At 55.1% G+C, this 25,509-nt stretch overlaps 2 protein-coding genes and 1 non-coding gene across 15 annotated transcripts, besides 4 other annotated features; 2 read left to right on the top strand and 1 right to left on the bottom strand.

The window, feature by feature from the left end:
* Positions 477-23,248, top strand: EXOC7 (exocyst complex component 7). Of its 13 annotated transcripts, NM_001375976.1 has the most exons (21): positions 477-631; positions 838-903; positions 2,401-2,585; positions 2,888-2,993; positions 6,246-6,468; positions 9,683-9,850; positions 13,029-13,121; positions 13,867-13,935; positions 14,944-15,089; positions 15,341-15,493; positions 15,702-15,800; positions 16,142-16,204; positions 16,544-16,610; positions 17,372-17,410; positions 18,119-18,184; positions 18,467-18,587; positions 18,855-18,950; positions 19,684-19,747; positions 19,975-20,016; positions 20,125-20,258; positions 20,514-23,248. In NM_001375976.1, exons 1-21 carry the CDS (start codon positions 572-574, stop codon positions 20,614-20,616), a joined length of 2,163 nt encoding a protein of 720 aa, NP_001362905.1. In that variant the 5' UTR covers positions 477-571; the 3' UTR covers positions 20,617-23,248. The 13 variants fall into 13 exon arrangements, with proteins under 13 accessions (NP_001362905.1, XP_006721851.1, NP_001362903.1 ...); XM_006721788.5 differs by lacking the exon at positions 13,029-13,121; NM_001375974.1 differs by lacking the exon at positions 13,867-13,935.
* Positions 6,188-6,245, top strand: MIR6868 (microRNA 6868). The gene has a single exon (NR_106928.1). It is a non-coding gene; the product is annotated as a microRNA 6868 (primary transcript).
* ZACN (zinc activated ion channel) lies at positions 21,458-25,082 on the bottom strand. The gene is made up of 9 exons (NM_180990.4): positions 24,903-25,082; positions 24,701-24,825; positions 24,518-24,562; positions 24,270-24,376; positions 23,840-24,009; positions 22,862-22,986; positions 22,509-22,719; positions 22,215-22,382; positions 21,458-21,801 (listed from the first exon to the last, which is right to left on the bottom strand). Exons 1-9 carry the CDS (start codon positions 24,997-24,999, stop codon positions 21,611-21,613), a joined length of 1,239 nt encoding a protein of 412 aa, NP_851321.2. The 5' UTR covers positions 25,000-25,082; the 3' UTR covers positions 21,458-21,610.
* Positions 22,970-23,170: a silencer, noted in NCBI's record as "peak3003 fragment used in MPRA reporter construct". NCBI's record gives its function as "represses an SCP1 promoter by STARR-seq MPRAs in K562 erythroleukemia cells {active_cell/tissue: K562}" and the evidence as "EXISTENCE:reporter gene assay evidence [ECO:0000049][PMID:32103011]".
* Positions 23,255-24,250: an enhancer, noted in NCBI's record as "H3K4me1 hESC enhancer chr17:74076095-74077090 (GRCh37/hg19 assembly coordinates)". NCBI's record gives its function as "activates a minimal SCP1, AML or CMV promoter by ChIP-STARR-seq in naive H9 embryonic stem cells {active_cell/tissue: H9 hESC(naive)}" and the evidence as "EXISTENCE:reporter gene assay evidence [ECO:0000049][PMID:30033119]".
* Positions 24,251-25,248: an enhancer, noted in NCBI's record as "H3K4me1 hESC enhancer chr17:74075097-74076094 (GRCh37/hg19 assembly coordinates)". NCBI's record gives its function as "activates a minimal SCP1, AML or CMV promoter by ChIP-STARR-seq in naive H9 embryonic stem cells {active_cell/tissue: H9 hESC(naive)}" and the evidence as "EXISTENCE:reporter gene assay evidence [ECO:0000049][PMID:30033119]".
* Positions 24,370-24,419: an enhancer, noted in NCBI's record as "active region_12791". NCBI's record gives its function as "activates an Ori minimal core promoter by ATAC-STARR-seq in GM12878 lymphoblastoid cells {active_cell/tissue: GM12878}" and the evidence as "EXISTENCE:reporter gene assay evidence [ECO:0000049][PMID:35858748]".

The following is a 25,509-nucleotide window of genomic DNA, read 5'->3' as shown; positions in this document are numbered from 1 at the left end:
GCCTGGAGCTCCGGAGCAGCCCCGCCAGCCCACAGGATACGTTTTTGCGTAATGCAGGGTGGAAGGCGGAAACAAGTACACAAGCCCCTGGTTCATTACATGGACACACGTTAGGCATCTACTGTGTCACCTGCTCCGTGCGGGGCTTTGTGGGAAACGCAATTGGCCTTGGTGCCTGCCCATAGAATGCGACCTGGGGAAAGGAATTCGTCGCCTTCCCCAGCAGTCTTTATCAAAAGGGTCGGTCTTTCAACGAAAACAGCAAGTGAGCTCTAAGTGTCCTGCCAGCCGCGGGACATAAGGCCGATCGAAAACCTCTGCTGAGGCAAGGAACCCGCGTCGAGGTCCCTTGCAGCATCCGAATACACTTCTCTTCCCAGCCACGCTCAAAATGGCCGTCGGTCCGTTCTTGGGCTCCGCGCAGGCGCACTTCAGCCTGCGATTCCCAACATGGCTCCGCCCAGGCGTCCCGGGGCGGGACCAAGAGCGGAAGTGGGTGTGACGGGGACGGGGGCCCGGTGGGCCCGCGGAGGAAAGATACTGGGGAGTGGGAGCCGCGGGGTTCAGAGCGATGATTCCCCCACAGGAGGCATCCGCTCGACGGCGGGAGATTGAGGACAAGCTGAAGCAGGTGGGCGTGGGCCTGGGGAGGCTGGGGAGGAGGTGAGGGAAAGGGGCCAACAGCGGGGCCTGATTGTCTACTCATGGAGGAGGCAGGGGTGGGAGGGAGCGCACCCAGCGAGGAGATGGGGTTGGGGGCTAGGCCGTGGGGTTGGGACGCAGTGGTCTCCTTTAGCTTCTGGTTTCTGGTGATGTCCTCCCCTTGCCTGCCCCCAGGAGGAGGAGACTCTGTCCTTCATCCGAGACAGCCTGGAGAAGAGCGACCAGCTCACTAAGAACATGGTGAGTCTCCCCGCAGCTGGGGGAGAGGGCAGGCCTCCGGACCCTGGGGGAGAGCCTTGCGACCTGGCGGTTCCGGTTCCTGCGGCCTGGAGTTCTGGAATGGGCAGCGACGGAGGCAGTGTGTGGGTTTATCTAGCAACAGTTTGGCATCTCTCCTGCCTAGCCCCCTCCCCATGTTCCGTACCCTCACTGAGGAGGCTGCACTTCCCACTGGCCTGGACTTGCTGCTTTCTGTCTAAGCTCGCCATTCTTCCTTCTCTCCTTCTGCAAACACTCAGTGAGTCTGACCAGTTGGGCTAGGTACTGGGCATATGTCATTGTCAGTGGACTCTCTGCCCAGGAGGTTGGCACTTTGAGATTCCTGAGGGCAGAGAAGACTCAGCCTTCACTCCAGAGGACTTTAGGGAAAGAAAGAGCTCTAAAGTCAGGCAGATCTGGGATCTAGTCCTTGCCCTTCTGCTTAAATGTGCGGCTCCTGATAGGTAACTGGTGTCAGCGAATTCATCTGCTAAAACAGAGACTGTGCCAGCCTCCCAGTGTGTCTGTGAAGGTCATATGCGCTAATGCATGCGACTGCATCTTGCACAGTGCCTGGTATACAATAGGTGCTCAATAAGTGAGTTTCCTTCTTTATTCCTAGGGGAGACTGGAAAAGCACAAAGTGAGTAAATACAAACTTGTATTTGCATTTAGTCACACAATAATAAAGTCCTAGTCCTTTTCTAAAAATTTTAATTTTTAAATTTTTTTTTTTAGAGGCAGAGTCTGGCTGTGTTGTGCAGGCTAGAGTGCAGTGGCATGACTGTAGCTCACTGCAGTCTCTAACTCCTGGGCTCAGGCAGTCCTCCTGCCTCGGCCTCCTAGCAGCTGGGACTGTAGGCACACACCACCACGCCTTGCTAATTGTGTGTGTGTGTGTGTGTGTGTGTGTGTGTGTGTGTGTCTGTGTGTGTAGACAGGGTCTCACTGTGTTGTCCAGGCTTGTCTTGAACTCCTAGTCTCAAGCTAACCTCCCGCCTCAGCCTCCCAAATTCTGGGTATTACAGGCATGAACCATCACGCCCAGCCTCTAGTCCTTATTCAATGAGTTTCATCCTTAGAGAGGGTTTTGAAGATACAGCAATGCATTTGAGGCTACTCTGTATGAAACTACTTCCAGTCCGGTTTAGGAATGCTTCAGAGAGAACAGAAGTTGAGATTTGGCTTCAAAGGGTGGAAGGGAAGCCATCTTGGGCTGATTATTTTAAGAAGAATTAATTTGATGCTTGGTTTGCCTTCAAATAAAATTTCAACCAATTTGTCTTAGACCACCTACTATATGCCAGGCACATGATAGGTGCTGAAGATACAGTGGGGAACAGGTACACCCTGTTCCTTCGCTTGTGGAGTTTATTGTCTAGAAAACCAGAGAAAAGGCAGGAAATGCCGAAGGTGGGTGTGTAGAAGCAGTGCTGGGACCACTGTGAGTCCCAAGATCAAGAGGCTTCCCTCCCGCAGGTGTCTATCTTATCATCCTTTGAGAGCCGCCTTATGAAGCTGGAGAACTCCATCATCCCTGTGCACAAGCAGACGGAGAATCTGCAGCGGCTGCAGGAGAATGTTGAGAAGACGCTGTCCTGCCTGGACCATGTCATCAGCTACTACCATGTGGCCAGTGACACTGAGAAGATCATCAGAGAGGGGTGAGTGAGTGAGGCCCAGAGGGTCAATTCCTAATGCCTCCTGGGCCAACAGGAGGGTTGGTCTGTAATCCCAACAATTTGGGAGGCTGAGGTGGGAGGATCGCTTGAGACTAGGAGTTCAAGACCAGTCTGGACAACACAGTGAGACGCCTTTTAAGCCCTAGGCCTTAAAAGGCAGTGGGGGGATAGAATATATTTGAGCCTGGAGTCCCCTGTATTAATTTTCTTTTTCCCAAATACTGTGTCCTTAGTCCTTCTTCATCCCCCATGCCCCAGCCTGACCTGGCTCTTTTCTTTCCCAGCCCCACAGGTAGGCTGGAAGAGTACCTGGGAAGCATGGCCAAGATTCAGAAGGCAGTGGAGTATTTCCAGGACAACAGCCCAGACAGCCCGGAACTCAACAAAGTGGTAAGGGGTCCGCAGAATAACGTGAGAAGCTTGGGGATATCAGTCTCTGCCCTGGTCTCATGAGGGACATGGAGCCAGCTTGAGGATGTATGCAGTAGAATACACAGAAGGATATAGCACAGTACATCCTATAGGCATTAGGATCTCTGCTTCAAGAATTGCACATTTTTTATTATTAAAAATTCTTTATTATAAAACTTGTTAATGTATTATAAAAATTAAATTATAAATTACATATAAAATATAAACTTAACATTTGATTTGTTGTTGTTGTTGTTGTTGTTGTTGTTTTTTCCTGAGACAGAGTCTTGCTCTGTCACCCAAGCTGGAGTACAGTGCTCAGCTCACTGCAACCTCTGCCTCCCAGGTCCATGTGATTCTCCCACCTCAGCCTCCCAAGTAGCTGGGATTACAGGCACTCGCCACCGCACCTGGCTAATTTTTGTATTTTTAGTAGAGACGGGGTTTCGCCATGTTGGCCAGACTGGTCTCGAACTCCTGACCTCAGATGATCCCCCGCCTTGGCCTGGGATTACAGGCGTGAGCCATTGCACCCAGCCACGTTTGATTTTTATAAATGCATTTGTTGTTCCTTTATTTTGGTTAAAAATACATAATATAAATTTTTTTTTTTTTTGAGATGGAGTTTTGCTCTTGTTTCCCAAGCTGGAGTGCAATGGCACGATCTCGGCTCACTGCAACCTCTGCCTCCGAGGTTCAAGTGATTCCCCTGCCTCAGCCTCCTGAGTAGCTGGGAGGGTGTGCGCCACCACTCTCGGCTAATTTTTTTTTTTTTTTGTAGTTTTAGTAGAAACGGGATTTCACCATGTTAGCCAGTTTGGTCACAAACTTCTGACCTCAGGTGATCCGCCCGCCTCAGCTCCCAAGGTGCTGGGATTACAGGTGTGAGCCACCGTGCCTGGCCAAAATGTGCTATTTTAACTCTAAGTTAACAGTGGCATTAAGTAGATTCACAATGTTATGTAGCCATCACCATTATCTCCACAAATATGTTCATCTTCTCCAAGTGAAACTCCACTCCCATCAAACACTAATTTCCCATTCTCCCTTCCTCTGTCTTCTGGTAACCACCATTCCACTTTCTGTTTCTGTGAATCTACTCTAGGAACTTGAATCTATGTGATTTTTTTTTTTGCATTATTATCTTAAGAGACAGGATCTGGCTTTGTCATCTAGGCCAGACTGCAGTGGTACAACCATAGCTACTGCAGCCTCGAACTCCTGGGCTCAGGCAGTCTTCCCACCTCAGCCTTCCAAGTAGCTGGGCCCACAGGCATGTGCAACCATACCCAGCTAAGTTTTAAATTTTTTGTAGAGATGAGGTCTCCTGTGTTGTTCAGGCTGGTCTCAAACTACTGTCCTCAGGTGATCCTCCCACCTTGGCCTCTCAAAGTGTTGGGAGGGATTACGGGCATTACCCACTGTACCTGCCTTCATCATATTTTTGTGTTTAAGTTTTGGGGTCATTAGATCATCAGAGCAAGATGGTGACTTGGCCTCTGGAAATCACAAATCTATTTTCTGTCTTTATGGATTTGCCTATTCTGAATTTCTAATATAAATGGTATCTTATAATACATGGCCTTTTGTGACTGGCCTCTTTCACTTAGCGTGATGCTTTCAAGATCAATCCATGCTATAGCATGTATCAGTACTTCATTTCATTTTCATGCCATATGATATTCCTTTTTGTGGATAGACCACAGTTTCTTTTTTTGGTTTTTTGTTTTGTTTTGTTTTTTGAGACGGAGTTATGCTCTTGTTGCCCGGGCTGGAGTACAATGGCGCAATCTTGGCTCACTGCAACCTCCACCTCCTGGGTTCAAGCGATTCTCCTGTCCCAGCCTCCCGAGTAGCTGGGATTATAGGTGCCTGCCACCACACCGAGCTAATTTTTTGTATTTTTAGTAGAAACGGGGTTTCACCATGTTGGCCAGGCTGGTCTTGAACTCCTGACCTCAGGTGATCTGCTTGCCTCGGCCTCCCAAAGTGCTGGGATTACAGGCGTAAGCCACCGTGCCCAGCCAGACCACATTTTCTTTAGCCATTTATCCTTTGATGGACACTTGGGTTGTTTCCAATTTTTGTCTCTTGTGAATAATGCTGCTATAAACCCTCTTATATATGTCATCGTGTGGACAGATTCATTCTCTTTTATGTTTGGGATACCTGTCTTTTATCAGATACATAGTTTACAAATATTTTCTCTCATTCTGTGGGTTATCCTCACTTTGTTGGTGGTATCATTTGCAGCACAAAAGTTTTCAACTTGATATTGTTCAATTTATTTATTTATTTTCTTTTGCAAACCCCCCACTAACAAGAAGACAAATTAACGGTTCAGTGAGAAAATAATCGGCCAGTATTTTTTTTTTTTTTTTTTTGAGACGGAGTCTCACTCTGTTACCCAGGCTGGAGTGCAGTGACGCAATCTTGGCTCACTGCAAGCTCCGCCTCCTGGGTTCACACCTTTCTCCTGCCTCAGCCTCCCGAGTAGCTGGGACTACAGGTGCCCACCACCACGCCCGGCTAATTTTTTTTTTTGTATTTTTAGTAGAGATGGAGTTTCACCTTGTTAGCCAGGATGGTCTCGATCTCCTGACCTTGTGATCTGCCCGCCTCGGCCTCCCAAAGTGCTGGGATTACAGGCGTGAGCCACCGTGCACGGCCAATCAGCCAGTATTTATTAAGCACCTACTTCTTGTAAAACCCTGGGTTTTACCTGTAAACACAAATTTTGAGAGAACATGAAGTAAAGGAGTCACCAAGGCCGCTTCCCAGCGTTTCTTCTTTGGGTTAAAGGATATCAGGGCAGGCCAGGTGCAGTGGCTCATGCCTGTAATCCCAGCACTTTGGGAGGCTGAGGCGGGTGGATCACCTGAGGTCAGGAGATCAAGACCATCCTGCCAACATGGTGAAACCCCGTCTCTACTAAAAATACAAAAATTATCTGGGCATGGTGGCACGTGCCTGTAATCCCAGCTGCTCAGGAGGCTGAGGCAGGAGAATTGCTTGAACCAGGAAGTCGGAGGTTGCAGTGAGCCAAGATTGTGTCACTGCACTCCAGCCTGGTGACAGAGCGAGACTCCCTCTCAAAAAAAAAAAAGATATCAGGGCAGAAAAGGGCAGAGGCCCTGAGTTAAGAAGACAGAGCTGGCACAGGCAGGGGAAGGCCAGGACTGGCAGAACACTGAAGCAGCAGGCACCTGCTTCCTTCTGTTGTCTGTGCAGAAACTGCTCTTTGAGCGCGGGAAGGAGGCCCTGGAGTCCGAATTTCGCAGCCTGATGACGCGGCACAGTAAGGTCGTCTCGCCCGTGCTCATCTTGGATCTGATCAGTGGTGACGATGATCTGGAGGCCCAGGAGGACGTGACCCTGGAGCACCTGCCCGAGAGCGTGCTCCAGGATGTCATTCGCATCTCCCGCTGGCTGGTGGAATATGGCCGCAACCAAGGTAAGGGATTCTGGCTTGGCCACATGACACACCAGAGGCAGAGGGAGTTTTCTCCCCTTTGTTCTTTTTTTTTTTTTTTTTTTTTTTTTTTTGAGATGGAGTCTTGCTCTGTTGCCCATGCTGGAGTGCAATGGTGCAACTCGGCTTGCTGCAGCCTCTGCATACCCGGGTTCCAGCGATTCTCCTGCCTCAGCCTCCCGAGTAGCTGGGATTACTGGCGCATGCCACCATGCCTGGCTAAGTTTTGTATTGTTAGTAGAGATGGGGTTTCACCATGTTGGCCAGGCTGGTCTTGAACTTCTGACCTCAGGTGATCTGCCCACCTCAGCCTCCCAAAGTGCTGGGATTACAGATGTGAGCCACCATGCCTGGCCCCCTTTATTCTTTAATCCACCTGTCATGGTTTTTTTGATAAAAGGATGTTTAACTGGAACCAATATAAGAATATAAGCAACCATTCTATGACTTGTATATCAAGTGGTGAATCTAGGCAAATTCAAACTTTTCTTGTCTTGATTTTTATGTTCCTTTGCCTTTTTTGATTAGTTGTAAAATTTTCAAAGCCATGGGTGAAAAGTAAAAGTCCATCTCCCATTCCCTGATGCCTCCATTACATAAGCCAAAGATGAGCACTATTAAGGTTTATTTATGCCAGGTGCTGTGGCTATGCCTGTAATCCTAACAGTTTGGGAGGCTGAGGTGAGTGGATCGCTTCAGCTCAGGAGTTCGAGACCTGGCCAACATGGCAAAACCCTGTCTCTACAAAAAATAAAAAAATTAGCTGGGTGTGGTGACGCATGCCTGCAGAGCCAGCTACTTGGGAGGCTGAGGTGGCGGGGAATGACTTGAGCCTGGGAGGTGGAGGTTGCAATGAGCTAAGATCACGCCACTGTACTCCAGCCTGGTTGACAAAGTGAGACTCTTGTCTCAAAAGAAAGAAGGCCAGGTGCAGTGGCTCATGCCTGTAATCCCAGCACTTTGGGGGGCCAAGGTGGGCGGATCACCTGAGGTCAGAAGTTCAAGACCAGCCTGACCAACATAGAGAAACCCCATCTCTACTAAAAATACAAAATTAGCTGGGCGTGGTGGCGCATGCCTGTAATCCCAGCTATTACTGAGGCTGAGGCAAGAGAATCTCTTGAACCCGAGAGGTTACAGTGAGAGTGCACTATTGCGCTCCAGCCTGGGCAACAAGAGCAAAACTCCATCTCAAAAAAAAGAAAGGAAGAAAGAAAAACTCCAATAGATATTCAGTGTTGCACTTTTTTTTTTTTTTTTTTTTTTGAGACAGAGTCTCGCTCTGTCACCCACGCTGGAGTGCAGTGGCATGATATTGGCTCACCGCAACCTCTGCCTCCTGGGTTCAAGCAATTCTGCCTCAGCCTCCCAAGTAGCTGGGGTTACAGGTGCCCGCCACCATGCCCAGCTAATTTTTGTATTTTTTGGTAGGGACAGGGTTTCACCATGTTGCCCAGGCTGGTTTTGAACTCCTGACCTCAGGTGATCCACCTGCCTCGGCCTCTGTAAGTTCTGGGATTGCAGGCATGAGCCACCTCGCCTGGCAATGTTGCACTTTTTAGCCCTCCAACTCTTCTCTTTGTTTGTGTGTACACATACCAAGTTGTCAGCGCGGGCTTGCCTTGCCCCAGAACTGTGTGGCGGCAGGTCTCACGGCCGCGATGTATCTGATCACATGAACACGTTGTGGCTCGTGAGCTGATGACAGCTCGGCAGAAGATTTTCAGGAGCTCCTTAGGATCAAGAGGGAGGCGCAGTGGACAGCCTCCAGACCTCTCAGCCTGTGCCTCTGTGTTTTGGTTCATTTCTTCTGTCGGGGTTCCTTGTAAACTATTTGTTGGGAACTTCTGAAATCCACCATAGTTTTCATGTCCTTTTCCTCAGTCATGTGTGCAAGGAGCTCTTCCTGTTTTTCAGCATTGATGAATGGTACCAAAATGGACATACCTTTGTGAATTGCTTTTTTCTTTGAGGAAGTTCTTGAGGGTTTATTCTCAAGGGTGCAGGGATTAGGTGTAAGTGTCTGAAGATACTTGTAACCTTCTTGCCATCACTAGCTCCTCTCTAAATAGATCAGGCCAATCGATGGACTCATCGACAGTTCCATGGCCATTTGTTCTTCATTAATTTTTGTTTTTGCTATCTGATAGGACTATCACAGTCCTCTAATTTTTTTAATTTATACTTTATTAATGGCTAAAGATGTGTGTTTTTCATTCACTGACATTTGTTGTCTTTTTGCTTCCTATAGAGCTCATGTTCTTTGACCCCTTACCAAGTTGAATCTGGATATTAACTTTGTTTTTTTATTTAAAAAAAAGTACTATTTAAAACTTACAACTAGGGCTGGGCGCCATGGCTCATGCCTGTAATCCCAGCTACTTGGGAGGCTGAGGCGGGAGAATCACTTTAACCCGGGAGGCAGAGGTTGCAGTGAGCCAAGATCGTGCCATTGTATTCCAGCCTGGATGACAAGAATGAAACTCTGTCTCAAAAAAAAAAAAAAGCTTACAACTAGGGCTGGGCGGTGGCTCATGCCTGTAATCCCAGCACTTTGGGAGGCTGAAGCTGGTGAATCATTTGAGGTCAGGAGTTCAAAACCAGCCTGGCCAACATGGTGAAACCCCATCTCTACTAAAAATACAAAAATTAGCTGGGTGGTAGTGGCTCATGCCTGTAATCCCAGCTATTCAAGAGTCTGAGGCAAGATAATTGGTTGAGCCTGGGAGGCAGAGTTTGCGGTGAGCCAAGATCACACCACTGCACTCCAGCCTGGGCGACAGAGTAAGACCTTGTCTCAAAAAAAAAACAACTTACAACTAATTATCAGTTCTATCAGAGGGTGTTTTTCTCTTTTAAGACTGCCTGGCCAGGCATGGTGACTCACGCCTGTAATCCCAGCACTCTGGGAGGCTGAAGTGGTCAGATTACTTGAGCCCAGGAGGTCGAGCCTGCAGTGAGCTGACATCGTGCCACTGCACTGCAGCCTGGGCAACAGAGCAAGACCCTATCTCAAAAAAAAAAAAAAAGACTTTGAAAGACTTTGCCTGATTTGGGACAAGATATGGGTGGCTTGTGACCAGAGCAGGGAGCAGATGCTAAGAAGGGTTGACAGGTTTGACAGGTAGACATGGTGGGTCTGCAAGGCAGAGACAGGGCCTGGCAGCCGTACCTCTATCCCTCTGTGTCTCCTCAGATTTCATGAACGTCTACTACCAGATACGCTCCAGCCAGCTGGACCGCTCCATCAAAGGACTGAAGGAGCATTTCCATAAGAGCAGTTCTTCCTCTGGGGTTCCCTACTCCCCTGCTATCCCCAACAAGAGGAAAGACACACCTACCAAGAAGCCAGTCAAGCGGCCAGGTGAGCCCCCATCCTGGCCCATCTCTGCAACAGCCAGAGGCTGACTGGGACTGTACTGCTTTAGTCCAATCTAGCGTTCGCAGCGTCAGGCCCCTCCAGAGCTTGTCGTCGTGGTAACCCCGACTGTAGGTACACAGGACAGAAAGCAAGTGTCTACCCACCCAGTGAAGCCCCCCAAGAGCAAGACTCTTCCTTCCAGCTAGCAGAGCCTGGGGTTACACAGCTTCTTTGGAGTAGGGGAGTAACACAGGTGCTCAGCGAATCCCGCCTGAGGCAGAGCCCCTGCCTAGGCCTCCTCCCTCACACACACGTCGCCCTGTCAGAAGGCCAGGCACACTACTGCAGCCAGGATGCTGGGATAGCAAGGGGATAGGTGCTCCAACCTTCACCTTCCAGAAAGGCAGGGTGATCTGAAGTGACGTGTAGCTGAGAGCTGGATGGGGAGAATTTCACTTTCCCAGTTGATCCAGAAAGGAAAGAAACCCCAGAGCATCCTCTCGGAAGAACTTAAACTGGCTTTGGGCTCCAGTGCGAGCGAGTGACTTGTGGAAAGGGGCACCATGATGAGAGGCCGGGGCCGGTGGGTGTTGCTGTCCTGGGTGAACATCTCGTCATCTGTCTGTTCTTTCTCCCCGGCATCATATCCCTTATAGTCTGTGCTCCAGGTAAACAGTGTCTCTGCCAGCCACAGCTTGGCAAGCCCGGCTATGTCTGGCCACTGAGAGATGCTGCCCGCAGCTCGATGATGTGCTGGGATGTTCTGGGGTGGGGCTGCTGAGATTGCACTGAAAAAGAAAGCTGGAGAAGCCGGGGCTGCTCCCACCCAGGCTGGCCCCCTGTCCAGCTGCTGCTGTGGGCACATGCCCTAGTTGTGGCCTGTGGCACCTGCTTATGACAACAAGCTTTGGGTAGAGCTTACTTACACCCTTGGTTTCTCCAGTCCCTGCCTGCTCATGCCCCTCAGAGAGTGAGGTGTCTGTTCCACAAGAGCACCCGCTCCCCTGCAGGCCTTTGTTTAGGGTTTGGAGAAACAGGCAGAGCAGGGGCTGCCCTCAGGGAGTAGAGCATTAGGGAGCTGGTGCCTGGGGCCTTCTCCCTCCAGTGTGGAAATCCTGCCCACCAGCCAAAACCTGCTGCAAATGGGGACTGCCAGCCCAGCCTGTGGGCGCAGCTGCCTGCACAGTGGATGGAGCAGCTCTGTGCCTTCTGTGTGGTGGGGAGTGGCTGTCTCTATGAGGCTGCTAGGATGCTTGGGCCCCAGCCAGTCTGTGCTTGCTTCCTCTTCTGCCTGGCTCCCTGACAGGTCCCCCAGAAGCCCCAGAGCCCTATTTGCACTGCCTTAAGAGTGCCCGCTGGCCATGCAGCTACCTGGCCTTTCAGGCAGGAGGGATCTGATCTCAGGTGGCTCACAGTGGACCACATCCATCCTTGGGCCAGAGACACTAGAGGAAAACTCCAGCTGTGGGGTTTCAGAGTTGTCAGGAACTGGTGGGCTCAGGACCGATGTCAGGCTCTAGGGAGTCAGGCTCTGGGGATGTCGGTTCCCACTTCTGAGGAGAGGGACAGGGAGGCCTCCCAGGTGGTGAAGCACCGACCTCAGCATCCCTGGAGGCAATTGGGAGCCTGACGGGTTTGGCGGCTGCTAGATCCACATCGGCGACCCACATCCTGCCGGCGTGCACCTGCGTCTGTGTCTGCTCCTGGTGGGTTGTGGGGCAGGAATCAGATTCACTCATTAGTAAGCCGCACTCGCTGAAGGGGAGAGCATGAGCAAGGGAGACGTGAGCCAGGCCTTGGTTATTAGGAGCTAATTATGGGCCAAGTATGGTGGCTCACGCCTGTAATCCTAGCACTTCGGGAGGCCGAGGCGGGCGGATCACCTGAGGTCAGGAGTTCGAGACCAGCCTGGCCAACATGGTGAAACCCTGTCTCTACTAAAAATAGAAAAAAAATTAGTTGGGTGTGGTGACGCACGCCTATAATCCCAGCTACCTGGGAGGCTGAGGCAGGAGAATCACTTGAACCCAGGAGGCAGAGGTTGCAGTGAGCCGAGGTCGTGCCACCGTACTCCAGCCTGGGCGACAGAGTGAGACTGTCTCAAAAAAAAAAAAAAAAAAAAAAACAAGCTAATTGTGGTGTTGTGCGGTGCGGTGCGGTGCAGGTGTAAGCAGTGAGCCTCCAGACACTGCCCCTTTCTCCCTCAGCTTTCTGGGGAGCTGCCAGGACACAGCAGCCTCACTGTGCTCAGATAGACTGTGGGGGTGGGAGGCATCCCGGGTGCCTTTCTGCCCCTATACATTTTGTTAACAAGGCAGCTGCACTTGTCTGCTTGAGATGCGAGTTGATTTCCCGACGTCTTCTGGCCCGAGATGTCTCATTCCCACAAAGGAGGCTGACCCAGGCGGCTGTGGGTGCTGCCATTTTGTTCTCATTGTTTTCACTTGTGATACTAACTATTGTTTTTCTCCCCCATGCCAAGAGCATGTGCCCTCTCCTTCCGTGCACACCCTCCAGGCGCTCTGTGTGGTGGCTTCTGTTAACCCCTTCTTGACTTTTGGATTTTTTCTTGTCGCTTTGGTGGTTTGGGGAACTCTGGTGTGGGGCTAGGCTGCCTCTGGGTCTCTGAGCCGTCCGCCTTGGGCACAGCGCTCCCCCGGAAGTTCAGTCAGGGTGGCTTCCTGCTGGCTGCTGTTTGGCGTACGTCCCAACACTGAGCATGCTCGGAGAACTCTGCCTGGAGTTTGGGGCTGGGCTGGGGGCCTGCTGGCTTCAGGGTGCCCCCCAGGCTCTCCCACCCTGGTTGTGCCCTCTGGGTATGCGAGCTTTGTCACGGGCTCCTCCGACCTGAGCCCTCGCCTGTTCTGATTATGATGCCACTCCATATTTTTGACTTCTCCTGGTGGATCTTGGTCCATCTTCATTACCCTCTGTCCTTTCAGAAATGAGCTGAAATCCAGAACAAGGAGGGTCGGTAGTAGAATCAAGGCTCCATTTGGAGAAGGAAATGACTCCTTTCCTTCATCCTTGTCCCCAGCGTCTCTGGTGGTCTCAGGGAAAGGCCTGCTCACTGTTGGGGAGCTGGGTGCGGGGCCTGGGGGGCAGGTGGAGGGCCGCTGCTGTTTTCTCTCACTCATTTCCTAGGTCTTCTTATCTCCTCTCTGTGTGGCTCTGGTGACAGGGACGATCCGTAAGGCTCAGAACCTTCTGAAACAGTATTCCCAGCATGGTCTAGATGGGAAAAAGGGGGGCTCTAACCTCATTCCTCTGGAAGGTAATCACCCTGTGTTCCCCTCCTGTCCCTTCCTCCTCCACTGTGTGTCCACGCACTTGGCAGGGCAGAGCCTCCCCCAGGAGGGCCTCGGGAGAAACCCTGAGGGGAGCAGGGTGGGAACGGCAGGTCCCCGATGCCACTCGGGCTTCAGCGGGCACAGGGACAGTTTCGCAGCCCTCGGCCTGGTCCTCTCTGGCTGATGGCAGCTCTGCCCTCCCTGAGGCTTCCCTCCTCCCTTCCCTGTCTCTGTCCTTGTCTCCTGTGTGAACTCAGAAAAAGTTATTTGTCTTGGGGCAGCCCTTTCACGCTCAGACCAGCAGTGGCAGGCCCCAGCTGGCCGAGGCCTCCCGGCCTTCCCATCTTTAGAAAGGGGAGTGTGTGCAGCAGAGGACAGGCAAACTGGGGCTTTCCCCAAATACAGCGAGGTGGGGAACCCCCCTGGGGCCAAGCATCAGCTCTTCAGCCCCTCCTTGGTCCTTCTCCGCTTTCCCTGGGCCTCCAGGCTCGGGGAAATGAGCAGCTAAGGACGGTCCTGGGTGCTCACTGAAGTCAGGCTTGAAACGGCTGTTCCCAAGGTGGCTTGAGGTAGAGGAGGGGCTCAGGGCCCTCTCCGATGCCCCCTTCCCCATCCCCATCTGACGTCCCCCTCCTGGAGATGAAGGGCTTCTTCCCTGTACCCCAAGGGGCGGCCTGCCTGGCCCCTGGATAAACGCTGCTTGTGTTTGTGCGGCCGACATCTCGCCAGGTCACGAGCATGATTTCCGAGTTAAGCACCTGTCCGAGGCCTTGAACGACAAGCACGGGCCGCTGGCCGGTGAGTACCGCAGCCCAGCCCGAGGGCAGCCGCTGACACTGCCTTCGCAGCGGTCCCCGGATGGCCTGCTCCTGCCTGGCCCAGCTGGGCCCACTCTGCTCTGAGGATGGGCCAGGCCTATGCGCCTCTCTCTCCACTCTCTCTCTTTTGGGCCTAGGTCTCCTTGCCTCTCTCCAGATGGGAGTGCGTGCCTGTCTGTCAGGCCTGGGCCAAGGGGAGAAGCCGCTGCTCCTCGGAAAGCAGGCAGAGAGGGAAGGTGGCTCCCTTGAGGGCAGGGAGCCCTGACGTCCGCCTCCTGCAACAATTCAGAGCTCTGATCCCCTCGGAGCCCATCCCTTGGCACATAGGACCAGGCAGTTCTGCCGCCGGTTTTGCCTGCAGGCGCCCCCGCCGTGGCCTCCAGTAATAGGGTCTGGCCTCCTCCTGGGGCAGCTGGCAACCCCTCCTCTCTGGGACTTACCAGCCTCTTAGATTTTGACCCCATGCCAGCCAGCCTCAGAAGCTGCAGCCAACCACCCTCTTAGATGTTCCAGAAGCCCTGACTGGGCTGGTCACTTCCTTCACAGGCCCCGCATTTGCCCACATGGATGACCCCAGTGCCAGCCTCCTTGAGGTGGCACAGCCACCTGCCCACCCTGGGCTGCCCTCTTTCAGGTACAACTCAGAATGCTCAGTCCTGGGGTCAAACCACCTTATCCAGGACGCTGATTCAGGAATCTTCCCTCCTTATCTTTCCATCCGTCACTCTCCTGCCTCTGGTGTCTGATCCCACTGTCTGCGCAGAGCCGAGAATGAAGCCAGAACAAAGGCTGGGCTCAGCTCCTTTTATTCCCCTCGAACCTGGCGGGGCCTGCTGGCTCCCTTGCAGCTTTCTGCCAGAACAGTCAGCCTCTTCCCCATCCTCTGCCAGTGTGGGGTACAGGCCAGGAGCTGGGGGACCCACGCCGCCCCCAGCCAGGAGTGTGGCTGGCCCCAGACCAGCAGCTCAAGAGTTGTGCCATCCCCCAGGGAGAGATGACATGCTGGACGTGGAGACCGATGCCTACATCCACTGCGTCAGTGCCTTCGTCAAGCTGGCGCAGAGCGAGTACCAGCTGCTGGCCGACATCATCCCCGAGCACCACCAGAAGAAGACCTTCGACTCCCTGATACAGGTCCCGCCCCGCCCCGGGGGCTCTGCAGCCAGCCCCAGCAAGAGCTGTCACAACAGACTCTTGCAGCCCTCAACTCCACCCACCACCACCACCTCGTGCCCTGGGGACCGGTCCTGGGTGGACGCTCACCACCTCCCCGTCACCCCTCTTCCTGCACACTGGCCCCCCTACATACTGCAAGGATCCCCCACTAGCCCAGAACTAGCTCCCACCGCCCCACCCTTCCCTGAACTGTCTCCCTGCCCCCTCAGGATGCCCTGGATGGGCTGATGCTTGAAGGGGAGAACATCGTGTCTGCTGCCCGGAAGGCCATTGTGCGACACGACTTCTCCACGGTGCTCACCGTCTTCCCCATCCTGCGACACCTCAAGCAGACCAAGCCTGAGTTTGACCAGGTGCTCCAGGTATGTGGGCGAGGGGCCCTCAAAAACACAGCCAGGAGGCATCGTGCTGCCGGGTGTGGCCGCCCCATCCCTCCCTGGGAGAACCCCATTCTCTGTCCCACACTTCTGCTCTGAAGGTGCATGGAAGCAGCTTAGGAAGGGCCCTGGGTGAGTGAGATGCTCACAGAGCGACTGGAGGTGAGCTGGGGGCTCCCCTGTGCTTCCTCAGGGCACGGCTGCCAGCACAAAGAACAAGCTGCCTGGCCTCATCACATCCATGGAGACCATCGGTGCCAAAGCGCTGGAGGACTTCGCAGACAACATCAAGGTCCCTGCTGTCCTCCCCTTTCTCCCTCCCTCCCGGCCCAGCACCACAGTGACCTGGCCCTGGGGGACTCTCAGAGCAGGCCTCCAAGAGGGTGCGTTGTCCCGGGGCAGCCAGCTGCGCCACTGGCCTGTCAGCACCCATGTGCCTTCCTTTCCTTCCTGGGGCCTCCAAGCCCTCTGAAGTGGGAAGGGCCTCTCCCCCTTGGTCCAGCCTGGCTCAGCCTTTGTGCCTGAGAGGTGTCCTAGCACCCGTCTGCCAGGAGGCGGCACCATGAGCAGGTGCACTGGGGCATGGGGTGGGCTGGGGGCTGCTTCAGGGAACCAGAGGCTGTTTTTCCACAGAATGACCCGGACAAGGAGTACAACATGCCGAAGGACGGCACCGTACACGAGCTCACCAGCAATGTGGGTGCTGCCTGAGGACACCAGGGAGAGGGGAGGAAGGAGGGCCCAGGCCCAGGCCCAGGGCCAGGCAGAGTACTGGTGGAAGGGACTCAGCCTGGCCCAGAGCCGCTCGCACCTTTGTGAGCAGTCCTGGGTGGCAGGATGGACAGTGACATGTTTAGTGTCTCTAGCAGACAGGGCCTTTCCTGGCAGGCTAGAGTGAAAATGAAGTTTCCAGCCGCGCTCTTCACTGGGCGGATCCCAGCCCTGGGCTGGCCCTGGGCACTCAGAGGGGTCGCTGTGGGAGGCCGTCGGCCGGGCCTGCCACTTGCCCTTCTGCACCGTTTTCTTCCCACCCAGGCCATCCTCTTCCTGCAGCAGCTTTTGGACTTCCAGGAGACGGCAGGCGCCATGCTGGCCTCCCAAGGTACTGGTACCTCCCAGTTGGGCCCCCTGCCCCACTCGCCTCCTTGCCTGGAGACATGGGGTTAGAGGGCAGGTAGCAGTGAGGAGGTATCTCCAGTCTGTGGAGGGGTTGAGGTGTGCTCAGCAGAGGGTCCCTGGGGCTGAGCATCAGGAGAGCAAGGTTTGCCTGCACCTTTCAAGACCAGACACTGGACCTCTGGCCCCTCCCTCAGCCCCTTTGACCGTCCTCGCCCTGGAAGCAGTGTCCTCACTCTGGGAGCGGTGCTGGTTGGTTGGAAGGTGTCCTTTCTGCCCCTGCCCCCCTCCCAAATCCTTCTCTCGTGTCTGCCTGCTCTCCTAATCAGGCTCGCTCAGCTGGCCTTCAGAGGGTAGCAAGTGTCTCAGGGCCCGCTGGGCGTCTTCCTGCTGGCCCTGCCCTGGGACTGGAGCTCAGGGGGTTGGCCTGTAAGCAAGAGCACCTTTCTGGGTCATTCCAAGCACTGAGGTCCCTGGGCCCTCTCCTCCCGTCCCATTTTGGGGGCAAGGAGCCTGTGGGCAGCCTCCAGCCTGCAGTTCTCAGCTCTCTACTTTCCAGGGTGTTCCCTGGTCCTCAGAGGGTCCCGCCTGCTGTGTCTTGCTATCTGTGTTTTGGCTGTCGTGGGGAGAGGTCTGCTTAATTCGGGTTGACATGCCGTTTCTAACCTGTTTTTTGCACTTTGCATCTTTCTCCCTCCTTTGTCTCTCCCTCTGTCCCCTCTGTGTGCACTGCCTTTCACTCCGTAGTTCTTGGGGACACATACAATATTCCTTTAGACCCCCGAGGTAAGCAGTGCGGTTCTGCAGCCCCCTCCTGTCCCTCTGAAGCTTGGTGGGTGAGGTTCCCTGGGGACTGACTCTCAGTACCTACTGGGGAGCCTGAGTCAGAGGGGACATGAGTTTTCTCGGGGTGCTCTCAACTCTCTCTGCTCCCTTCAAGGCCACTCTGTCTCTGAGCTTATCCGCAGCACCTGCCCAGGCTAGAGCCCTGGATACACCCCCTAGGCTCGCCCGGCCTCCCTGCCTTGCTGTCCCCACTCGGCCTTCCCCACTGTGCAGGCCGCAGCTTCGTCTGTTCAGTAGGGTCTGGTAGAGGGGATGTTCGAATGTAGGGGAGAAGGTGGAGAGGCTGTGGGGAGCCCATTCTAAGACTCTGCTGTTGACAAAAGGAAAAAGGGGGCCTTGTAGAAACCACCCAGGGTGGGTGGGGGCAGGAGGGGACAGGGCGCTGGCATCTCACTCTTTTCCTGCCAGCTTTTCTGCTGACATGGGCCAGCTCCATCCCATCATAGAGGGCAGCTCTGGGTTCCAAAAACTCCAGGGCTGGTGCTTCCTGCGGCAGGGGCCACCCTGTGGCTTAGCAGGCAGCCAGCTCTGCCCAAGGAAGCCCAGGGCCTGTCTCAGTGTCCCCTCAGACTGCTGCATGGCCTGGGGGAAGGGCCGTTGAGGGTCTTGGCTGCTGCCACTGCAATAACAGGACTTCTCCTCTCACAGAGACCAGCTCTTCGGCCACCAGCTACAGCTCTGAGTTCAGCAAGCGGCTGCTAAGCACCTATATCTGTGAGTGTTCTCCCGGGCAGACCAGCAGCCCTGCTGCCTGCATGCCCTGCCTTTCCCTTCCTTCTGTCTGTGCTCTCTGGCTATTCCCAGGGCCCTCTCCTAAGTGCCATCTGATCTTTGGAACCACAACCTGACCTCTAGTTCAGAGGCTGAGGGGAGTTGGGCTAAGGCCTCCTGAGGCAGGACGAGGAGCGATGGATAGGAGCGCGTTCGCGGGTCCTGGGGTGGGGTCGTTTGGGTCAGACTGCCATGGTGGGTGTGGCCCCATTTTTCCCTGTGCAGGTAAAGTGCTGGGCAACCTGCAGTTGAACTTGCTGAGCAAGTCCAAGGTGTACGAGGACCCAGCTCTGAGCGCCATCTTCCTGCACAACAACTACAATTACATCCTCAAGTCCCTGGAGAAGTAAGTGGCCTGCGGGAGTGAGTCTGCGGCTCTCACCTTCCCCTCGGCTGTGCAGCTGTGCCAGCCCCTGCCCCCCTGGGCTCCTTCTCTTGTGGACGAGAGGGGAGGGGGTGCTTCAGTCTCCTCCACCCCAGGACCCGGAAGGTGGGATGCCATAGAGCTTGTGGAGTTTGGGGTGCAATGGGAGGCCCTCCCGGCATTGCCGCAGCCTTTGGGCCTGAGGAGCCAATCCTGTCCTCCTCTCCTCTGTCCCCTACCCCGACCCAGGTCTGAACTGATCCAGCTGGTGGCAGTGACACAGAAGACTGCTGAGCGCTCCTACCGGGAGCACATTGAGCAGCAGATCCAGACCTACCAGCGCAGGTGAGAGGCTGGGCCCGCCCTGCTCCTGCATGGGCCCCTGTGCCACCACGCACTCTTCCTTCTCAGCACCTCAGGACACAGAGTCGGTCACGGGGAACTCCTGTCCTCTGGACCCTAATCCTCCACTTGGTTTCTAATCAAACTCACGGGGTGGAGAGAGAAGCCCCCTCCTCTACCACTACCTGCTCCTAGGGGCCCACTATGGCCACTTTAGAGGGGAGTCTGCCAAGTGTCAAGGCTAAGAATGATTGAAGAGCTGGCTCTCAGAGACGTGGGTAATGTTTACCTAGGAGAAGAGCAAGGTCGCGAGAGCACTTGAACGTGGCTGAGCCTTGCTCTGTGAGGATCCCGCTGCTTCTCTGGTCCTCTTTCTTCCTGGCTTTGTTTCTTCCCTTTGAATGTGTCTACCTCTTCCTTCTCATTTATCTGCCCTCCACTCCTTTCTTTCTCATCTGTTTCTCCATCTTAGTTTGCCACGATATTGATGTGAAGTATAGTTGACAGTATTTGTCCAATTTATTGAACACTCAAGTGTTTCCTAATGTTATCTCAAAAAGTGACCAGTTTAAAGATTTTCTCTTCCCAGGAAGAAAACCTGTTGTTTGCTTAGTTGTGACCCACATCCCTTCCTACCACCACCCACCAAGTAGATCCAGAGATTTAGCAAACGAAACAAGCCAGGCCACTGAGGCAGGCCACCCTCTGCCCTCATGCTTCTCTTTCTGTCTGGCAGCTGGTTAAAGGTGACTGATTACATCGCAGAGAAGAATCTACCTGTGTTCCAGCCGGGAGTCAAGGTGGGCTCAAGACCTGGGCTGGGAAGGGGTGTCTGGCAGACGGGATACTTTTTGTCGTGTCTCTGGGAAAAAGTGGACAAGCATCCCTCTGGGATCAGAGAGCAAAGGATGCATGTGGCCATCAGGACACAGGAGACAGGCCCAGACCAAGGGTGTTTGGGGAAGAGTGGGGGAAGGCTGCTCTGCTCTGAAGTGAGCTTTCTCTGCTATCTCTCCTGGCTTCCCAGCTCCGGGACAAGGAGCGGCAGATTATCAAGGAGCGTTTTAAGGTGAGTCGGGGTCCTCTCCCCTCCACTGCTTGCTGCTGCTGTTGAGGCAACACAGACCCAAAATGTTTGTCTCTGGGTGCCTTCCTTTTTCACCTTTTTGGTGGCCAGGGCTTCAATGATGGCCTCGAAGAACTGTGCAAAATCCAGAAGGCCTGGGCTATTCCAGACACAGAGCAGAGGGACAGGATTCGCCAGGCCCAGAAGACCATTGTCAAGGAGACCTACGGGGCCTTTCTACAGAAGTGAGGCCTCCATTCCCCTCCCAGCCTGTGCTGCCCACAGCCCCAGTGGGCCTCTTCAAGCTCCTCTTCCTCAAGGGAAAAAGGAGAAGGGTGGTGGATTTAGGCAGCAGATCCAGCGACCTGGGCTTTGGGGCGGGGCCAGACAGGGAATCGCTCAGGGCCACCCCTTCCAAGACTATCAGGAGTGCCTTAGGCTGAGGGTGGAGCTGGGGAGGGGTCGGCCCTCCCTGTCCCCTGACCACAGTGCCTCCTCAGGTTTGGCAGCGTGCCCTTCACCAAGAACCCGGAGAAGTACATCAAGTACGGGGTGGAGCAGGTGGGCGACATGATCGATCGCCTTTTCGACACCTCTGCCTGAGCCTGCTGCTAGCCCTGCCTGGTTCCACCAGACTGGCGTGTCATTGGACAGATAAACCAGTGTTAGCTTGCCTCTGGGCTGGGTGAGCTTGAAGTCCTCTGGGACAGAGACCTGTCTCCACGCCTCCGGGAGCTGTGTCCCTGAGCCCCCTAGTCCTGGCTCCTGCTTTTTCCCCACAGCCCGTGTTCCCAGCCGAACCAGCACTCTCCCGGAAGCCTGGGGTCCCTCCACACCTTGGCTTTTATGACCCTGATGGCTTCTGAAACAGGAAAAGAGAGAAGGAAGACAGAGGCCTGTGCCCACTGCTGCTCCATGTGTACCAAGAGCAGCAGGGCAGAAGGGCCCTCCCTCCAGCCTAGGTCAGAGGTGGGGACAGAGAACTCCCCTACAGCCCAGAGATGTGGCAGGGCTCAGAGAAGCAGCCAGAGCTCCTGGAGGAAAGGCAGTCGGGACTGACCCCCTCTCTTAAAACACATTCCCGCCCGCCCACAGGCCTGAGGTCTGGGACCTTTCCCTCCCAGGAGTCCCCTAGGTGGCTGGGGGAGGCAGGCTCACTGGCCATTTTCCCTAGAGTCCAGCACACTGCAGGAGGCGTTCGGAGGAGGAGTTCCGCCCCACCCTCTACAGCCTTCCTCAGGCCCCTGTCTCTGGCCCCCAGCCTCAGTGCCTCTTGGCCCAGGGCCAGGCAGTCGTGGTTGCAGAAGGAGCAATTAGGCTGCCTGCCTGTGGGCTGGGAGACAGGGACAATGGGGAAAAGTTAAGGAGCAAAATGGGGGTTGGAAGCAAAAAATAGGGCCCCACCTATTTAGGACGAGATTGAAGACTGACCCTTGAGGCACACTTGCACTGGAGATGGGTTTATTTCACGCTCTGTGCTTGTGTGCTAGCGGAGGGAGAGCTCAGGGTGGCTTAATCCAGAGGCCCTGTCATGGCCCGCCCCCAGCCATGGGAAAGCAAACTTCATCCTAAGGTGTGCAGCCCAGGCCCTGCCCCTTTACAGTCTAGGCCGCCTGCCATGGGGTGCAGCCTCTCCAGGGGCTGCGTCAGACTTGCACGCTGCCCACATCCAGATTCCTGCAAAGACGAATTGGGTGCACAGCACCCCAACCACATACACGAGGAAGAAGATGCGGTCAGCAGTCTCAGGCCAGCTTCTCTGTGACCCCTTTACTCCTCTGGAGGGCTCTGTGGGGAGAGATACAGGGAAAGGAGCTGTTCTTCAAGGTCCCCTCAACATGAGCGGAAGAGCGAACCCCAGGGGTCATCAGCCTGTATCGCTTCCTTTCTTAGATTCTCAGCTGATGAAAATTTGGGTCTGGCCCATTTCAGGCCATCTTCAGTTGAAGAAACACCCTCTTAGGCTGTGCAAGGCATGGGTTATCAGGGGATTGAGGTCACCTGGGACTTCAGGGAGGCTCAGCTTGCTCCCTGCCCCAGACCTGTTTCTTCTAAGGGAGGAGGACATGGTGGAGACCAGGGACAGGAGAGCCAGCAGGGTGGATGCAAGGGGCCTCTACCCACACCTGGACCTCCGTGCCCTCACCCCAGCCCTAGGTGTGCACCTAGGCCTCATTCCTTACCCCCCAGCCCCTGCCCACCTTCAGCAGGATGAGGCCCTGGGTTGCCGTGCTCTCGCTGTTCCCCTCTCGGGGCTGGGCTGGGGCCGCTCTTGGCCCCAAGGTTGCCCCGGGCCAGCAGCCCAGCCAGCAGCACAGTCTCTATGGTGCTGAGGAAGAGCAGCAGCAGCAGGATGGTGAAGTAGTAAACTGGGGGAGGCAGGGCACAGGGAGATGCTCAGGGGCCAGTCCCTGTGTCTCTGGTGCCCAGCGAGCTGAGCACCAGTGGGTGACCGGGGAGAAACAGGGCAGACTGGGTAAGGGAGCAGGGCTTACTGAGCAGTGGGTTGCAGGAGGAGGAGCTGGGCAGGGCCTGCACCAGGGAGGAGTGGAGGACGAGGTAACTCAGCAGCAATGTCACCTTGTAGCCTATGCGCTCAATGGCCCGGAGGGGCAGCAACCCCCCGCACACGTCAGCCAACAGCAGTGCCTCTGCAGGCACCAAGAGAGCGATGATGGACTTGAGCGCCGTGTTCTTCAGCCTCAGCTGGAAGGGGAAAAGTCAGGGCCTTCCCGGCGGGGGGGAAGGAGGTGGGCATCGGGGGCATGGGGCCTGGCCTCTGGCCGTGCATCCTCACTCCCACCCGCCTCCAGCAGCCCTCTGTCGGCCTCCTCCCGACTTGACTCACCGTCACCTGGAAGCAGGGCACCAGCTGCTGGGGTGGGACTTGGGTCTTCAGATCATAAACTACGTATTCCCTCTTGACACTCACAATCTCGTTCACCACGTGGGCCTGGAACTCTAACTCCATCGCTGAGGGGTGGGAATGAGAACTATGAACCAGGAAGGAGAGATCCCAGCTGCCAAGTCTGGGGGTAGCAGACTGGAGCCCAGGGGTGATGGAGACTTTTGATGGCTTTTGGCAGGGACAGACTTGGACACAAAACCGATCCATAGAAGGGCTTCCCAAACCTTGTTTTGCAACATCCCAAATTGTCTCCAGTTGAAGGAAGGCCTTTATCAGATTCATAGATGAGCTTTCATTGTAAAAATAAATGTACTTTGCACCACTTCATGATGGAGGGAGAAGTGGTCACAGGCTCGTCAGTCTATCATCTCACAGCTGAAGCAGGATCCCCAGGGCTACCGCTGTGGTCTCTCATGGAGGGAAGGGTAGGACTTCTCTGCCAAGTTAGATGTCACCTGATGGGTTTATACAGGGTGGCTGCACCTTCAGGTGGTTTCCAGGAGTGAGGCCATGGCAACCTGAGCCTCTGGCCTTGCTGCAAGGGGCCGAGCCACTGCAGTCGCCATGGCTGTGGAGGGCAGTTGCTCTGGGGAGGACAGAAGACTGATGTGCTCGGACCTCTGGGATTGCAGAGCTGCTGCGAATGTTTGAGTCTGTCACCCTAGAGAGGGGCCCTGAGGCTACCGCTGAGCACAGAGATGGGCTGCCACTCGAGTGGGGGGCGCAGTGGGAGAGCAGGTGCTGCCCGCCTAAGCCTGGGGTAGACTGCTCTGAACACAGACCTGGGAGTTCGCCTTCTGTCTGCCTTTGCCCCTTCCCCTTGCCCCGCACCCTGCCCCTGCACCACAGACCTGGGAGTTCCCCTCCCCCACCTTCCTCCTCCCCTCCTCAACCCTGCAGCCCCTGCCCTGTCAGCACCCGTGTTGCTGAGAGCGTAGAAGCTGAGGCTGCAGTTGCTGTGGTCCCGGGGGAAGTGGAGGAGCTCAAAGTTGCAGTTGGTCTCCGTGGCGAGGGCCAGGTTGAGCTTCACGTGGCCGTCCTGGTCTACTCGAGCCTGGGGGCTCTGGTCCCTCCAGTCCACCCAGAGCCTGTGGGGAAAGGCACCACAGCCAGAGCCCCAGCCCCTTCTTGGACGGGGCCGGGGGGAGACCCTGGCATCCCAACCCCAACCCCAGCTGCTTTCAGAGTTCTGGCAGTGGGAGGGGAATTCGAGGCAGTGAAGGTGCACTGCTAGTCCGGCGGGGACCGCCAGGAGGGTCATATTCACTCAGACAGCCTCTAGGTTGTAGATGGGGGAAAAGGAGGGCTATGCATGGCAGATTCCTGGGGCAGGAACTGTCTCACTTACGCCTCCAGGATGGTGAGCCTTGGTGTCCAGAGAGACTCCCAGGGCAGCGTGATGGCGTGCCGCGGGTGTGCACTAGTGTTCCAGGCCAGGCGAGTGTCCAGCCAGGACTGGGGACACAAGGGCACCACTGAGGCTCCTGCTCTCCACATATCCATGCCCCTAAGCTCAGCATGTTGATGAAGGCTGGTAGTTCTGAGCTGGACTCAGCTGGGCTTTCCCATCCCACCTCCCCAGGCATAGGAGCTCACCAGCCTAAGCAGCAGCATGGAGGACATTGTGTATCGCAGGATGTCCTGGGGGAAGGGCAATGCATCACCTCAGGGTGAGCGCTGTGTTGAAAGAACGCAGCAGGAGACCCCAGCACTATCCAGGGCTGAGTCCTGTTCCCTGCCCAGCTCAGCACTTGGGGCCCTTGGCCTAGAGGCACTTACCACATTAAACACGTTGGAGACAAACACCCGCACATCCACGAGCAGGGGCGCACTCCCATTGTTCGGGATCTGGATGCTTTCCTGAACCTTCTTGGACAAGTTGACGTTGAAGAGGGATGGCCAGACTGAGAGAGAAAAGTCAAGGTCACTCAGGTGCCCTAGGGCCCAAGTCCCAAAGCTTATGACCTTGCCCTCCACCTACTGGCTGCTGTCCCTTGGAAGCCCTGCCCGTGGACCAACAGCAAGGTAATGCTGAACCCCAGGAAGGTGAGATGGAGCAGGGACCATAGGGCCATCATCGGCTGCACGGAGGGACTGGAGGGAGCAGCGGTGCCTAAGCTACAACCTCTATTCCAGTCACTTCTCTGGCAGCTGAGCAATTAGCCAGAGGCAGCTGCTCTGGGCAAGGACTCTGGGGCCGTGCACTTGGCAGCCCCTGCCCCAGTTCCGCAAACGCTCAAAGATAAAGCCCAGGACCCAGCCCCGCCCACACTGCACCTGCCTTGGTGTCCCTGTCCCGCTCCATTTCCACCACCTGGAACCCGTTGAGACGCTCAATGCCTGCCCAGGGGGACCTGGCAGGTGTAGGACCTCTACCTCTCCCTGACTTTGTACTTCCAATCAGGGCCCACGAGTGTCCCCTGCATTTCGGTGGCTGACACCAGCCTACCTAAGACCCAAACCTTTGGGCAGAGTGTTCTGTGCTTAACGATGTGAGATGGGGACAGCCTTGAGAGTCTCCTTGCTCTCCTTAAACACTGAAGTGATTTTGTGTAAAGAGCCTTGGCTCAAGAACCCTGGATGTGGTG

Source organism: Homo sapiens, chromosome 17 (assembly GCF_000001405.40).
Source record: "Homo sapiens chromosome 17, GRCh38.p14 Primary Assembly".
NCBI classification, from domain to species: Eukaryota; Metazoa; Chordata; class Mammalia; order Primates; family Hominidae; genus Homo; species Homo sapiens.
The sequence above is the reverse complement of the archived record's forward strand: the minus strand, read 5'-3'. Positions and strand labels throughout refer to the sequence as shown.